General features: G+C 40.3%; 1 protein-coding gene across 8 annotated transcripts in view; it reads right to left on the bottom strand.

Moving 5' to 3' along the window:
- The window catches only part of HACD2 (3-hydroxyacyl-CoA dehydratase 2), a 93,500-nt gene that overhangs the window by 73,233 nt on the left and 2,479 nt on the right, over positions 1 to 17,788 (bottom strand). For 6 of the 8 annotated variants that reach the window (NM_198402.5, XM_047447663.1, NM_001329784.4 and 3 more), the window contains exons 2-3: positions 17,426 to 17,543; positions 2,976 to 2,994 (exon numbers count right to left, since the gene is read on the bottom strand). In NM_198402.5, coding sequence (NP_940684.1) covers positions 2,976 to 2,994; positions 17,426 to 17,543 — 137 coding nt within the window. Of the gene's footprint in view, positions 1 to 2,975; positions 2,995 to 14,914; positions 14,984 to 17,425; positions 17,544 to 17,788 lie in introns of all 8 variants that reach the window. The other 2 variants (NM_001329783.2, NM_001329786.2) reach the window with 2 other exon arrangements.

The raw sequence follows: 17,788 nt of genomic DNA on the forward strand, positions 1-17,788 counted from the left end.
GAAGGAAAAGGCAGATAGCACAGGGTGATGAGGCAGGAGCAAGAGATGTACAGACAGAACAAGGTCCTTGAGGATATAAGAAGGATCCTGCCGCTGGGCTCTGGGGATGCAGAGCTTAATGAAACAGAATCTGCCCTCGAGGAGCTCAGAGTCTGAGGGGGAAGCAAACCTGCCAACCCTCTGAGCAGCATGTGATGTGCACACCAGTCCTCAGGATGGACTATACCAGAGGAACTCAGGGGATGCCCATCTGACTGTGGGTTTCCTGGACCTAGGTCTGAGCCCATTCACCTCTCTACTCCCACTGCCCAACAGCACCTGGTATGCACACGTGCTAGGCGTTCGATAATTTTCTTGGTGTGAATGAAAAAATATACTTGTCAGAAACTTTATTTCCAGGTGTAGAGAAATTTTATAAAGACATATAAGGGTATATTTTAAGACAGATAAAGGGATTTGGGGTATTAAAATAAAACTAACATTAACTAAAAATCATAGTACACATGCTTGGTGCTGTACCCTGAATGTCTACGTCCCTCCAAAATTCCTATGTTGAAACCTAATGCCCACTGCAAAAGTAATAAGTGGTGGGGTATTCAGGAGGCGATTAGGTCACAAGGGATCTCATGAATGGGGTTAGTGCCCTTATAAAAGGCCCAAGGGAGCTCACTTGCCCCTTCCACCATACAAGGACACAGTAAGAAGCTACTGTCTATGAGCAACAGGCCCTCACCAGACAGGGAATCTGTCAGCACCACCTTGATCTTGGAATTCCCAGCCCCCAGAACTGTGAAAAATAAATTTTTGTTATTTATAAGCTACCCAATTTATGGTATTTTGTTACAGCAGCCAGAACCGGCTAAGATACTTGGAAAAGACGCATCTGAGAGCTTTATACAGAGACAGCTGAAGGTTAAGAGAGTTGAGGAAGAATGAGGCAGGGTTCAGTCATGTGGAGAAGGCCTGAGAGGTTCCAGAACTCTCTCTGGCCAAATATATCCCCCAATCTGCTAGGATGTGCTTAAGATTTATTTAACCGTTTATGAAAGGATAAAATTTTTCATTTCAAAATTAAAAAGGACTAAAAAGGAAATGCGTGTAAGACTGCACAAAAGTTTAATACCCATTCATCATAAAATGAAATCAGGCAGGTGTCAGACTGACCTGTCTCCAAATGAGCTTCCCCATTTACCAGCTGTATGAGCTGGGCCAGATCACTAGTTTTCTCTGGGAAAGCAGACCACGGGACAGATGAGCCCCCAAGCCACTTTCAAATCTACCATTCAAAGGTCCTAAGCAGTATTTCTTAGCCTTTTGGGAATCATAGACTCCTCAGAGAATCTAATTGAAGCTATGAATTCTCTCCCTACACGCCCCTCCAAATAAACACAGAAACATACGTATAAAATTTTGCACATCATTTGAGGGGGTCCCTGGACTCTCTACCCGTAATCCCAGGTAAGAAGTGGGAAACCAGCAGAGATGCAAATCTTTTAAATCCTTTTTTTTTTATTTTTTAAACAGAGACTCACTCGTTTCCCAGGCTAAAATGCAATGGTGTGATCGTGGCTCACTGAAGCCTCAACCTCCTGGGCTCAAGCCATCCTCCCACCTCAGCCTCCTGAGTAGCTGGGACCACAGGCATGCACGACCACACCTGGCTCGTTTTTTATTTTTTGTAGAGATGGGGTCTCCCTGTGTTGCCCAGGCTGGTCTCGAACTCCTGGCCTCAAGTGATCCTCCTGCCTCAGCCTCCCAAGGTGCTGGTATTACAGGCATGAGCCACCACACCTGGCCCAAGGTGCAATTCTTTATAATAAGGTTCTTGGCCAGGCGTGGTGACTGCATGCCTGTAATCCCAGCACTTTGGGAGGCCAAGGTGGGTGGATCACTTGAGGCCAGGAGTTTGAGACCAGGCTGGCCAACATGGTAAAACCCCATCTCTACTAAAAATACAAAAATTAGCCAGGCATGGTGGCGCACGCCTGTAATCCCAGCTACTCAGGAGGCTGAGCTATGATCGCATCAATGCACTCTAGCCTGGGACCCTGTCCCTAAAACAACAAAAAAAGAAGGTAATGGAGCCAGATATCACAGTGACCTCTGCTAGACCCACAGTGGACAGTCTGGTGTTCTCTACCTGTGCGCCCATCTGAACTGTAAGTTTCCCTGAATATAGCAACTACCCACTTTAGTTATGGATTAAATTGATGGGGCCATAACGGTATAGATTTGCAGTTCTCAAATTTTTTGACTTTCAGTGCTTCTAAGTATCAACTTCAAATCCTCCCTTTGGGAGACATACCTGGAGTGCACAGCAATCACTACGGTCTTGCTCTATAGGGTCTATCAACTTTCCAAGACTGGATTTTATTCAATTAGAAGGTTCTAGCCACCCCAAACTAGACGTTATGCCTCTATTCCACAGCAATATTTGATGACTCGCCCCTCCCCACAAAAAGGAAAATAAAACATATTGTATCTGCTTTTAGTAGAAATCCCCTACATTTGTATAACCCTTTATACGTAGTACTTCTTTAATCCCTCTCACAAACATGTAATATTCACCTGGGAGGTAGGCAATACTCCCATTTGAAAGATAAGGAGAGAGAATGATACCATTTAAGTGATCACAGAGAGGGCTTTTCAACACAGCCCAGCACCAGAACTCCAGCCACATTTTTACAAAAATGCTAATGTTTCTATTACCCTTACACTGAGAAGGTGGGAGACACCTCTTTTAAATTAACAGAACAAAATAGCTGTGAACTTTAATAAAGTGTTCAGTCATGACATCTAAATAGTACCTATGATTTCAGAAACTGAAAGCCACTCTAATTTCAGCAATTTCATACATGATGACTAAATCATTTCATTTTTTCAATATTTAACAGAAATCAATAAAGCCTATCATCTATGACTTTTTAAATAAGCAGAATTCACTGTACATAGTAGGGGGGAATATCCATACTTACCTATAGCACAATGTAAAATCTAGAGGAAAAAAGGGGAAAAAAGAGGAGAATTAGTAAGAATCAAGATATTAAAGTTTTATTTCATATAAACTAATGTTTCAGTAAGAATAGAGCAGCGTCTGCCAGCAGTATTAAATATGAAAAATGAACATTCCATTTTTAAACTTGGCTACAAGCTGTTTAACAAAATGTAAATTCTTGTTCAGTTTTGTTTGTTTGTTCATTTTTAGTTTGTGTATCTTTGAAGGATTTTCTGAGGAGGATTTACTCTTCCCACTCAGTAGCTTATCAGATATCAAGGGCTCTTTCATAATGCACAAACTTGTAAGAGCAATAAGTGTACAGCATCTCCATGTCCCATATGCTATAGAACAGAACCACCACGGACTCCGGAACACGGGGTGAGAAGGGCCTTTGTTGGCTCTTCTTGCCTGGCAGGCCCTTCAATGCAGACATTCATTCTACTAAGTTCCACCCTCAGTCCCCATCTTGCCTCATTCAATGATCTCACTGCAGAGGTGCTCTCTGGTCCAATCCAACCCTGTCTCCTGGGGATCTGGGCCTACATCCCAAGCTGCCTCTGGACAGCTCCATCTGGGAGCCACAGCAGCGGCTCAAACACAGCCTCAGTGGGAAGCACACGCTTTCCTTCCATTCCGCCCGTTATCCCTCTTGATAACCAGCCTCCCAGTCTTTGGGGTTCAACAGTCCTTCCTTCCCCTCATCCTCAAGTACAACCATTTCTAAGTCCTGCTGGCGATTCTGGGGTCTGTCTTCCCCATTTTTATTTCCAGTGCGTTGAGTGAGACTGCCATCTCCACTCCATCTCAATGGCCATCCAACTGGCAAATTAAGTCCTTCTAAATCCCCTTCCAACTCATCCTTAATATAGCAGTGATTTAACTCTGGGGGTGGTGGTGGCAAAAAAGTAATTTGAAGCCATTTATAAGATTGATTTAATGACCAAAGCTTTTCTAGGTGATATAACCTAACAGCTACTGTAGGGCATTTCAGAATTTTTACATTTCTCTAGCAGTCTTTATATTGTTTGATCCTAACAATTACCTGGCAGATAGGCAGGACAGAAAATCTCTACTTGCAGACAAGAAAACCAAGGCTCAGAGAAGCCACACAACTTGCCCAGGGCAGTAAATGATGGTCAGGACCAAGAACTTAGGTTTTATTTCTATTCTATCATATTATTTCATTGTGCATTAGTTATGAGAGATCTACAGAGTCAGACTTGACAAGACTTAGCTTATCTAAAACATGCCTGAGCCTGATAAGGCTCTGTGCCTTATCAAAAACTACTATTTCACTCAATTTGTGGGGGAGGGATGTGGGGAGATTGGATTAAAAAAACAAATCAAGCTGCACAATGTTGCTGGTAACTGACAGGAGAACAAAATAATTACCACATTGCAAATCTTACAGTCTTTTTCAATAGAAAACACTGTTAAGTAGATACTAAAGTGTAAATATGATAAGCTACACCTCCTGCTGCAAAGTTCAGGAGAACTAAAAGACAGATCTAGATCAAAATGGGGAATGAAAAACATTATTTGAAACAAGAAGACAGATGACAGTACCTAGACAGAAAACCTGTTCATTTGTTTTGGACACAGGATCATATTCTGTCACCCAGGCAGAGTGCAGTGGTGCAATTACAGCTCCCTGCAACCTCAACCTCCTTGGACTCAAGCGATCCTCCCACCTCAGCCTCCTGAGTAGCTGGGACTACAGGCAATTGCCACTACGCCTGGCTAATTTTTGTATTTTTTGTATGGACAGGCTTTTGCCATGTTGCCCAGGCTAGTCTTGAACTCCTGGGCTCAAGTGATCCGCCAGCCTTGGCCTCCTAAAGTGCTGGGATTACAGGCATGAGCCACTGCACCCGGCCCAGAAAACCTATTCTATCCATGTATGCAGCAAGACACCCAGACTGGCCAGGCATGGTGGCTCACGCGTATAATCCCAGCACTTTGGGAGGCCGAGGCAGGCGGATGACCTGAGGTCAGGAGTTTGAGACCAGCTTGGCCAACATGGTGAAACCCCATCTCTACTAAAAATACAAAAAATTAGCTGGGCATAGTGGCGCATGCCTGTAGTCTCGGCTACTCAGAAGGCTGAGGCAGGAGAATCGCTTGAACCCAGCAGACAGAGGTTGCAGTGAGCCGAGATTGCGCCACTGCACTCCAGCGTGGGCGAGAGAGCAACACTCCATCTCAAAAAAAAAAAAAAAAAAAAAAAAAAAAAAAAAAAAAAAAAGACATCCAGGCTGCTGATTAGCAACAGGACACTGCAGGAGAGGACACACAGCAATGAATGGCTAGCATGTCTTCTTTGCATGACAGAGCAGTAGGTCTCAGTCCTCAGATGCACTCTCCCCTTTTTAATCACACATATTTTATAATGCCTCCTCTACCATTCTGAAAAGAAATTCATAGATAAAATGACCTACCTACACAAAATTTTCAAAAGCAAATAAATACAATGTCCCAATTGATACACAAAGAAGAAATAAAGTAATTTATTTTTCAAAATACGTATTTCAACTTGTAAATGGGGACATAATGATGTAGTCAGATGTACATAGTAAATTATGAAAATAAGTTTGGATTTAAAAATTAGAGTAACAGAAACCACTGTGGACAAGCACAGGAAAATAAAAGGGCAGATGTAGAGGTACAGCCTAATACTTGGAAAAAAGAGTATTAATAATAGAAATAAAGAAGTAACCTTATACAAAGTTGGAATAACATGCTAAAGTAAGTAACAGTCAAAGTAGAGAAATTGAAGGAGTACATTACTATTTCAAATCAGCTAGGTCTTATTTATTTATAAAGTGTCAAAATAATCTAAATAATCTCCTAGGTTATGTCATGGGATGGGGTCGGAGGAAAGTATCACAGAAAATCTATCCTTCTGCTTTGAAATCCTATTGAGACATACAATCAGTGTACGGTCTGTAAAAAGACCTTGAAAACGTATTCTTTAAATGGTGCAACAAGGAATAGGAGAGGAATTAGATGTAAAAAAACTGTAATGCAAGAGGCAATAAAGCCATTGTTTAACAGGGGATACTTTTAGGACAAAACAGAAGACGAGCTATCCCAAAATAAAATTTACATTTCACAACCTAGATTTCATACCATTACACACACACACACACACACACACACATACACACACACACAGGCAATAATATGAAATATTAGTCTATATGAAAGAAATACAATGAAATCCCTACATATCATGTGTCTCCAATAATTTAATAATTGAAGTCTAAACAGGAATCTCAAAACTGATTTTCAATGATTTTCACTACTGCGCTGAAATCCTTTTCAACTAAATATGCAAACTAGAAATGCTGTAATGCTTACAGAACAGAATGTGCAGAGAGAATAAATTACTTAATTATTTTGAGACAATACCTTCATTTCACTTAAGCTTCTCGTTTCATACCAATGATGGTGGTAGGGCAGCATTCTTAAGGCGATCCCCCACAATTACTGTTCCTTGGCTATTCAATCAAACACTAATCTAGGTACTGCAGTGTAGGGATTTTGCAAGTGTAATTAAAGTCTCAAGTCAATTGATTTGAAGATACAGATATTATGTGGGTGGACCAGACCCAACCAGATGAGCCCTTTAAAAGCAGTTTCCTCTGGCTGGTGGCAGAAGGGGAAGTCAGAGATATTCAAAGAACAAGAGGGATTCAGCAGGCCACTCTGGCTTTGAAGCTGCAGGGGAGTCACGTGCAAGGCCTGGAGAGCAGCCTCTAGGAATGAGGAGTAACCTCCTACCGACAGCTAGCAAGGAAATGCAGACCTCACACCTACAACTAGATTCAGCCAATAACCTGGATGAGCTTGAAAGTGGATTCTTCCCCTGGAGCCTCCAGATAAGAAATCAGCCAGCTTGGCTGACAACTTGATTTCAATCTTATGAGACCCCCGAGCAAAGAACCCAGTCAAGCCCAGCTTCTGACTTAGAAAACTATGAGCTAATCGATGAGCATTGTTTTCACAGCTGCTAGGTTTGTGGTATTTTTGTTTTACAGCAACAAAAACTAAGACCACAACCTTCTTCTAACTTAATAAGCTTTTTAATTTTTCCTGAAGATTTTTCAGTATTAATATGTACTACAAAATGGTCCATTTATATTTGTAGAGGGGTTGGCCTGGGGAGATATGCAGAAGCCAAGGAGGATGCAGAACAAATCTTCATGAAGTTGGACTGTCTACATATCGTAGGACATCTAGCCAGTAGCATCTCCAGTCATTGTGGCAATTGAAATACTCTCACAATTTTCCAAAATGCACTCTGAAGTGGTGAAGTGAAGTGGTGGCACTGCTTTGTTGAGGTCCACCAAGAATCACTGGATAAGAATAAGCACACCTCATCAAAAAAAATTTAGATGACTTGCCATATTCAAAATCTCCCTTGAAAATACATGTTGCACCAGGCACAGTGGCTCATACCTGTAATCTTAACACTTTGGGAGGCCAAAGCAGGAGGATCACTTGAGGTCAGGAGTTCAAGACCAGCCTGCGCAACACAGTGAGACCCCCAGCTCTACAAAAAATTTTAAAAACTAGCTGGGCCTGGTGGCATGTGCCTGTAGTCCTAGCTACTTGGAAGGCTGAGGCAGGAGGATCACTTGAGCCCAAGAGGTTGAGGCTGCAATGAGCTACAATCATGCCACTGCACTCCATCCTGGGCAACAGAGCAAGACCCTGTCTCAAAGAAAAGAAAAGAAAATATGAACCATAAACTCCTCTCTCCTCTTGTGTCCCTTCCATTTCCACTGGCAATAAACTGATTTTAGTTTTAAAATTTAACCTCAATGTAAAATTGCCATTTGCACAATAAATTACTTGGAAACATCTTTTCAAAGTTTCTAAAATTTGAACTAGGGGAATTATTTTTGTAGGTTACCAACAATTCTGTTCAATTTCATTTTTAATCCAAGGTAAAACAATAACAACAAAGCCCCAAAAAGTTTAAGAAGTCTCAAAGGGAACAGAAACCCAAGCAGCTTTCAAGACCTCAGCTGCAGCCCATGGACTTAATGTGATTCATCTACAGTGATTCCCCATCTCTGTCTTTCAATTCAAAATTCCAAATTCTTGGGAGGAAAAAAAAAACCTGACTAGCCCACTCTGGCTCAGTTACGCACCCCTGGATCAGCCAGCTATGGCCTAAGATGCAGAGTCAGGGAATAGAGATGTAGCTGCTAAGGGTCCAGCCTTGAGAACCAGACAAATTCCAGAGAGGATACGCTGAGCTGGGCAGCTCCACAGACATGTCCACGACACTTGTTTTACGGTGCAGAGGTCCATAACCAATTTGAGTTACATCTACCAATATTTGATTTGTTTTAGGAATTATCATATTCTACACATATATGATTTCATTCTTGCTTAAAACTTAATAATAATAATATATAGTCTTCAAGGATAGACACCAAAATGTTAACAGTGGTTATCTTTAGATTATGACTGCTATGCATTTTCTTCTGCATCTGAATTTTTTCTACAATGAATATATAGTACTTATTACTGGGGGAAAACACCTTTCCACTCTCTTCTGGTTTCTATAAGGATGGATTTCCACCACATAGTACTAGTCTCCTTTAATTACTTTACCTCTGGAAAGGATGACTCATTTGAGCGTAAATTTGGGAAGAATAAATGGGGTGTGTTCAATTCAGCTCCACTAGAGAGGTTTCATAGAGAACCTCAAGTTTTCATGGTTTCTTCTAAGACAGCCCATCTGCTGCTGCTCAGGACAGGGTGAGTGGTGAGTCTAACTGTGGAGTTCAGTTAGCAAACCCATTTGACTCGCACACTAAAGCATGTCCTCAGCCTTTATCACTAATAAAGGTGATTTTTAGGATCCTTATGTAACTCCTTTGAGTTACTGCTCAATGTTCAGAACATAAACAAGCAAAAGGGTGTTGGTTATTCACTGGGCTCCCTCAGACTCCAAACATGTTTTCAAAATCCTTTTACATCCAATTTTTAAGGACGAAATAGGTAAAAAGATTCCTCAATTATCATTATTTTTCCTTTATCACTTAATTTCACCTTTCTTGCTATTTCCACCCCTATAATTTACTAATTCATTATTTGCTTAATTTTCATATTTTGATAGTGAAATGTTGAAGTCTCACAGAACTTAAAAGTGGGGAAAAATGTAAGGTCACCTAATCCAGTGTATTCACTGCACATAATGAATCGAGGGCGAGAGAGGTTAAGATCAAGGTCACAGGGCTAATTAATGGCAAAACCAAGTCTTCATACCCAAACTGTGACACCTCTTAAGAACAATTCTATTTTTTAACTTCTATAGCATTTCTGCCAGCTTTTTACATATTTTGTTTCTCTGTTCAGATAATCATTCATTCATCATATGATTTCACCAACATGTGTCTCCCATGTTCTTGCTACTGACAAACTGTGAACTAAGGTTCTCTTCAGCTTCTGCTCCGAAATCAACTTTATCTTATGCTGTAACTGGGTAGTCCTGCTTTTCTTGACACTTGGTCATGGCAAGCTGGTTTGTCCCTTAGTAAACTTAAAGTCAGTCTCATAAACAACAGATTGTTAGACTTTAGTTTTTAACCAGTAACCATCATTTCATCTTTTCATCTTGATAAATTTAATCAGTCCATTTGTATAAACATAAAAAATGATGTATTTTTACTATACTCTATTATGCTATAGGTTTATTATTCTCCTGCCATTAAAAAAATTAACAGGATTTGTAGATGTAAAACTCTATTTCTCTTTAAATCGAAAAATAAAATAAGCTGCCTATTGTCTTCCTTTTTCAAAAAACTTTAAAATCTTATTTTCCTCATTCATCTTGTTTTCAATTACATATAATATAGAATTTTATTTTAAAAAATTACATGTTTCATGTGATATATAAATATATACTAAAGTATATTAAAAGTGGTAATCTTTTACTCCCCCCTTGCCCCAAAATACCACGCCCCTCCAGAGGTAAGCTCTAATTAACAGTTTGATATATACTCTTCCATACCTTTTTCAGTATCTGCAATTGTGCTTTTATTCCCTATTGATTTTCCTAATCTGAAAACATCAGCATATAACTATTCTATTATCAATTTAAAAATTTATGAACTCTGGAGTGATACAAAATTTACATCGTTATGTTTATCCTCCTTCCCACTTCATTCTATCCTGGTAAAATCTGAAATATCTTATGGGATTCCACATGATCACACTGCATTCTGTACCGTGGTCTAAAGGCTTATACTGTGCAGCCACTAGCCATATGTGCCTATTTAAACTTAAATAAAGAGTAAAGAATTTTCATTTTTTTTTTTTTTGGAAAACAGGGTCTTGCTCTGTCTCCTAGACTTGGAGTGCAGTGGAGTGACCATAACTTACTTCAGCCTGAAACTCCTGGGCTCAAGCGATTCTCCTGCCTTAGCCTCCCGAGTAGCTAGGACTAATATGCGCCACTGTATCCGGCTAATTTTTTAAATTTTTAAAATTTTTTGCAGAGGCGAGGTCTTGCTATATTGCCCAAGCTGGTCTTGAACTCCTGGCCTGAAGCGATCCTCCCACCTTGGCCTTCCAAAGTGCTGGGATTACAGGTGTCAGCCACCACTCCTGACCAAAAGTAAATAAAATTAAAAACTCAGTTTCTCAGACCCACTAGCCACATTTTAAGTGACTAGTGGCTACTGTTTTGGACAGCGTTCCAACGTTATCACTGCAGAAAGTCCTATTGGACAGTGCTAGTCTGAAAACTTGGTTAATTTTATTTATTTATATAACAGTTACTCTTTGATAACAGCTAACTACTCTGATTAAAGTTAAATAATCTTTGGTAAGGTGCTTTCAAAGTTCCATTAGCTTTTCTAAGTGTTTTCAAAATGTTTCCAGCTTTAGGAAACTGCATGGTCTGTTATCCAGGAACCTAATATTTCCTACTACACGGGGATTTTTTCTTCTTTCAAGTTTAAGGTCCCAAGTTGTTTTTAACTATTACATTTTAAAATCTGCTCTTTTATGCTGGAAATTGTTTAAGTACTCAGGAAGGGAAGAAATTTTTTTGTTGTGGAACACCATAAACTCTCACTAACCATAGTGAGGTGGCCTTTCAGTTCAGCAAAGTTTTCTATAACTTTTCTCCCTGATTATTTATAAGCTGTATATTCCAACCTTTTCTACTTCCTCTGGTAGTCTTACTTTTTGAAAGCTTATACAACCTCATCAGGTTTTCTAGATACATTGGTTCTATATATATTGTTTTTCTGTTATAATGTTTTGTAATGTTTCTTTTACATGGTGAACTTTGAAAATTTCCCTATGACTTCTGTTCTGCAATTCATTTTATATGAGAACGTGAGTGGAAACTCCCGCCTTTTTTGAATCTTCAGTATCACCTATTTCTTGCACTGTGGCTCCTTCGTGCCCTATATTGCCACCATTGATATTTTTAGTTCTTTTTTTTTTTTAATTTCAGTACATTCCCTTCTACAGATGTTAGCTATTGTACCTCTTTGAATACCACATCAATTTGCTTCTATTTGCTTGAGTCACCAAGCAGTGAGGCCTGTGTGGGTGGGTTCCTGTTTCCTTCCAGCTCTCTCTTCCCTTCTAATGTTGTGACACTTATTAATTTTAATCAAGTTAGAGTTTTCCTCTGGTTTTCACACTGTTTGAGAAGCTGGTTTTTCTGGGATTTGTTGTCATTCCTATTTGTGTTAGATATCTACACTATAACTTGCTCTTGCTAGCTTTTCAAAAGCCTCTTTTAGAGATGTGTTTCCTCAAAATGGGTCCAGAATAAAAGGAGCCTAACACATGCATGTAGCTTGCATTTCAGAAGTTCCTTTTTGAGACTATTACTGGGAAATCAGAATGTTTCCACAAGAAGGAAAAATATAACAGACAACGGTTATGTCCTCAAACCAGTTCACAAAAGCAGTCTGAAGCACAATACCTCCATGGCAAAAATCAGTTAGTGTTTGAGCCATAAAGAAAGAAAAACTGGCAGGGAGATAAGAAGGGATCTTTCTTCTTAAGGACACTGCAAGTTTCTAAGACTTTGCTGTATTTTATAGAAATACCCAAAATCAATTTCCTATTCATTAAAGGATCTGAAGAGCATTGTGAAGTGAGGTCTGCAGAGTGAGACAGGAACACACAGATGAGGCTGAGAAAGTGCTGGGGTTAGAAGACTAACAAAAGCTGTCTGCTGTCTCCCACCACTTCTCCAGACCTTGCCCTAGATCAATTCCAGGACACGATCAGAAATGAGATTGGGTTGTTTATTCATTTTTGTAGATAAGGGGTTTCAAGTAGAAGAAAGATCTGGAAGAGAATGGGAAGAAAAGGGAATTCCTGTGGTCCATCAGGAAGTCCCAGATGCACAATGGTAGGTAAATGTCATATACAGCAATGTACATATGTTGAAGATAGCCTGTATCAATCTCAACAGTTAACCTCTTTGCAGAGCAATCTTTAACCCATTTGAAATCTCACTGTCAATCACAGAGGCATATCCAATCATGAGTATTTGAAAGTGTCTTTGGCCGGGCGCAGTGGCTCACACTTGTAATCCCAGCAATTTGGGAGGCCGAGGCTGGCGGATCATGAGGTCAGGAGATCGAGACCATCCTGGCTAACATGGTGAAACCCCGTCTCTACTAAAAATACAAAAAATTAGCCGGGTGTGGTGGCGGGCGCCTGTAGTCCCAGCTACTCGGGAAGCTGAGGCAGGAGAATGGCGTGAACCCGGGAGGCGGAGCTTGCAGTGAGCCGAGATCGCGCCACTGCACTCCAGCCTGGGCGATGGAGTGAGACTCTGTCTCAAAAAAAAAAAAAAAAAAGAAAGTGTCTTTGCTATAATTACAGTCTTATGTTAACCAAAGATATTTAGAAACCCAAATTCTCTCAAACATAATTTTAAACTGCCATAACTGCATTAGTCCACTAATTTTTAATCTAACTATACTTGACAAATATGCAAAGATAACATCTGCCTCATCAATGAATATCATGGACTCCAAAAATGAATAAAGTAGAAAACACCCACAACTCATTACAGAGGAACTCGTTTTTTAAAAACTGACATATAATTCACATGCCACAAAATTCACAATTTTAAACTGTACAATCTAGTGGTTTTTAATATGTTCACAGAGTTGTGCACCCACCACCACTATTTCAAGAACAATATCATCACCTTAAAAGGAAATCCTGTACCATTAGCAGTCACACCCCACTCTCTCTCCCCACAGCCCCTAACAATTCCTCTACTTTCTGTCACTATGGATTTGCCTATTCTGGATATTTCTTATAAATGAAATCATACTATTTGTGACTTTTTGTATCTGCCTCCTTTCACATGCATTTTTTCAAGATTTATCCAGGCATATATCAGTAATTCATTTGCCTTTATTAATTTTATGAATGTTTATATCCATAGACCACATTTTATCCATGAGTAGCATTTTATTTATAGATACTTTTTTTTTTGGAAATGGGGTCTTGCTCTGTCACCCAGGCTGGAGTGCAGTGGCACGATCATGGCTCACTGTAGCCTTGAACTCCTGGGCACAAGTGATCCTCCCACCTCAGTCTCCTGATTAGCTGGGACTACAGGCATGTGCTACCATGCCTGGCCAATTTTTTAATTTTTTGTAGAGATGGGGTCTCGCTATGTTTCCCAGGATGGTCTTGAATTTCTGGCCTCAAGCAATCCCCCCATGTCAGCCTCCTAAAGTGCTGGGATTACAGGTGTGAGCCATGGTACTCAGCCAGGCTTCCTTTTGTACCTTGCTACTACATGCTCCTTTGTACTTGCTTGGTAAATGTTTTTATGTCTTTTAAAAAGCAAAGTGTTATTATTTTCTTAAGAAGATGTGAAATTGGAGAACAAGTAATTTCGATTTCCTTTTTAAGTAAACTCCCACAGAACCTAATAAAGAATAACATTTAGCATAAAGAGATATAAATGAGTAGCTGCCTTCCCTGGATTCATTTTCTCCTCCTGTAAACAGGATATATGTCAACACTAATAATTCCCATCAGGATAACTTATGTGTAATTAAACAATACCACACACATCTAATTATTACACAGTGTAGATGGGGTAGGCAATGAAAAACTCCTCAACCACAGAAATTGTGGTTTTAGCAAGCCTGCTCTATCGCCCAGTCCAAGGGATTACTTCCATCACTGACCTTTGCAACGTTAATTGCCTGCATGTTCCTGGGAGTCTTCACTTCCTTATGCACAGACATTTTCCCAAAATCAAATCCAGGATTTGTCACTTAATTGGTTCTTAGTGGGGATAACAGAGATAAAACCAAAAATCCAAGATATTTTCCTAAATCCCTATTAAAAATTCTATAAGGATAAACAGGCTAATCCTTCAAAGTCTAAGACTTGGTTCCTGAGTGGATTTTAAAGTATGACACTGTTTAATGTCCCTACCTTCCATAAGATATACTTAAATTTTAAAAATTATACTTCTAACATTACCAAGTTTTTTTTTTTTTGAGACAAGGTCTCACTCTGTCATCCAGGCTGGATTGCAGTGATGCAATCATAGTTCGCTGCAGCCTCAAACTCCTGGGTTCAAGCTCAAGCCTCCCATTTCAGCCTCCCAAGTAGCTGGGACTACAGGTACCCACCACCCAGCCCAGCTAAAAAAAAAAAAATTTTTTTTTTGTAGAGATGAGGTCTTGCTATGTTGCTCAAGCTGGTCTCGAACTCTTGCCCTCAAGTGATCCTCCTGCCTTGGCCTCCCAAAGCTCTGGGATTGCTGGGACTATAAGCATGAGCCACTGTGCTCAGCTCTAATATTATGATGTCTTAAAGAGATAGAAACCCCTTTAAATTATTGAAGTATTCCAAATGGGGACAACCCCCTACTATATCAAGTACTGGAAGTCTGATGGTCTTGACTCCAAATTTGCTTCTCTGTAGCTTGTGGGAACTGTACTGGCCAAGGTTCTGAAAGAGAAAGTACTACTTATTTACTAGTGTCCGCTTCCAAAAAAAGTTCAAGCCTCTAAGTTTAAAAAATGGTTCACATTAGGATTTGTTAAAATTTCCTCACACTCAAATTTAGGGTAGTAAGGGACTTTAGAAATCTACTTTAACCTAATTATTTACAAATGAAAAGGAGGTGGATACGAGAGAAAAGACTTGCCCAAATCTATAGAGTCAGTTGGGAAAACTATTATACTTAAAATAAAAAGGTACTCAGGCTTCCAGCTGGAAGCTCATTTCATCATACCACCTACTTAAAATGCCTAAGTTTGGACACTATTGAAATTCCTCTGTGTTGCAGTGAGCCGAGATCCCACCACTGCACTCCTGCCTGGGCAACAGAGTAAGGCCCTGTGTCAAAAAAAAAAAAGAAAAAAGAAAGAAAGAAAAAAAGAAATTCCTCTGCCTTCTAAGAGAAAAAAACAAAAGCAAAATGGATAACTTTCTGATCTAGAACGTGAGAGTGAATCCAGCCTGGGAAACACAGCCAAACCTCACCTCTACCAAAAATATAAAAATGAGCCAGGCACGGTAGTGCACGCCTGTGGTCCCAGCTACTTGGGAGGATGAGGTGGGAGGATGGCTGGGGCCTGGGAAGTCAAGGCTGCAGTGAGCAGTGATCACACCACTGCACTTCAGCCTGGGTGACAGAGTGACCCTCTCTCAAAAAAATAAATAAATAAAGTGAGAGTGGGCTGGGTGCAGTGGTTCACGCCTGTAATCTCAGTGCTTTGGGAGGCTGAGATGGGAAGATTGCTTGAGCCAAGGAGTTTGAGACCAGCCTGGGCAACACAGGGAGACCCTGTCTCTATGAAGTTTTAAAAATTATCCATGTATGGTGGTGCAAGCCTGTGGGCCCAGCTACTCTGCAAGCTGAGGTGGGAGGACTGCTTGGTCCCAGGAGTTCAAGGCTGCAGTGAGCCACGGCCATGATGGCACCACTGCACTCCAGCCTGGGCGACAGAACAAGACCCTGTCTCAAGAAAAAAAAAAAAATTGAGAATGAAAGGTAGAGGTATCACACTTCATTTCATGAGATAAAGAATTTTTTTTTTTTTTTTTTTTGAGACAGAGTCTCGTTCTGTTGCCCAGGCTGGAGTACAGTGGCGTGATCTCAGCTCACTGCAACCTTGCCTCCCAGTAGCTGGGACCACACGCCCGTGCCACCACACCCGGCTAATTTTTGTATTTTTAGTAGAGACGGGGTTTCACTGTGTTAGCCAGGACGGTCTCAATCTCCTGACCTCGTGATCCACCCGCCTCGGCCTCCCAGAGTGCTGGGATTACAGGCGTGAGCCACCGTGCCCAGCGAGATAAATGATTTTTTCTTAAGTATCATTCCATAGTTCAGGTTTTAAAAGTTGCCAGTAAAGTATAAATGTTATGATGGTCTTGCCTGGAGGCTAAGCAAAATGAACCAGATCTTCCCTGCAATCTGAAGGTTTTTCACCATAATGAAATATACGAACTATGGCGGCTATTGATTTTGTGTGCCCAAAGCTATCCCCATCCCTCTTTTCCATAAGCAAAGTCTATAGTCCCTTGGACAGAAGAATGGGCATGTGTCCTAAGATTGGCTAATCAAGCACCTCACATCACTGGCATAGTCTAAGTAGGGCCAACCAGAATCCTCTCTGGGAACTGTGTGACACAGATGCTGCGAAAAATAAACACCCTCCCTGTTTCCCACCATGTGGAGAGCCCAAGACCAACATTCAAAGAGAAACAGACAAGCAGAAATGAGAGAAAGCAAGAGAATCTGGCAGTGTCAGCTCCTTGGTTCTCATTCCTGAGCTAGTTTCTTTGTAAATTAATCCTGTATCTGTATCAACTACAGAGGCCAGAAAATTCCTTTTTTGCTTAAAATAGTTTGAATTGGGTTTTTGTCCCTTGCAATTCCAAAATCCTAATCTATACTTACCCCAAGAGAGAGGGCTGGATATACATTGCCCTTAATGCAGGGAAATCAATACATTTTTGTTAAATTTTTAAAATTTGGACGCCTCTAGACAGGCTCTCTATTATGTCTTCTATCTATCACTTCCAATATCCTACACCCACCAACTTCACTATTTCTATTACATAAACCCTGAAAGCATCTGATTTTGCCAGTGCTTCCCCAGGATGTCCCTAGAATTTTTAAAAATCCTAATATAAGCTTGCTTCAGTTGATTTCCCAAAAAAGTCGAATATAAAATACATTCAAGGTAACCTAAGTTAAATGAGATTCTACCCAATCTAGAACATCAAAAAGCCTAGGTATCAACACTTTAGTATGTGAGGAGGCAAAATTTCAAAATTTAACATGAATCCAAAGGGGGTATGCTACTTCAATATAATTTAGTTGCATGTTTTTCTTCATACCAATGGAAATCAATAACAACAATAAATCTCAGGACCTACCTCCAATAAGGCTCCAGTTTGAAAGAATTTCAAAGGCTTTTCAATTGAATAATAAAGGCTATGGTAGCTACCCTTAGCCAGGTATGCTCGGACCAGACCAACCGCTATAACCAGCCACCTAGTAAAAGAGAAAACAGCAATCAGGAAAAAATAAAAATAAAAAAAGTAGCATTTAGGTTAACACACAGCTGTGGCAATAAAAGATATTGCTAAAGGTGACCTCAAGCATGAGTAACCTGGATTTATGGACGATAGCTCTCAAATGCCAAGCTGTAATGCACTGAAATGTTGCAACACCGACAGCACCTTACCAAGAGGGCTCAGTGAAAGCATAGTGGCACCTCACCCATCTGGAGCTCATTT

The sequence above is a fragment of the Homo sapiens genome, chromosome 3 (assembly GCF_000001405.40).
Source record: "Homo sapiens chromosome 3, GRCh38.p14 Primary Assembly".
In the NCBI taxonomy this organism is placed as follows: domain Eukaryota; kingdom Metazoa; phylum Chordata; class Mammalia; order Primates; family Hominidae; genus Homo; species Homo sapiens.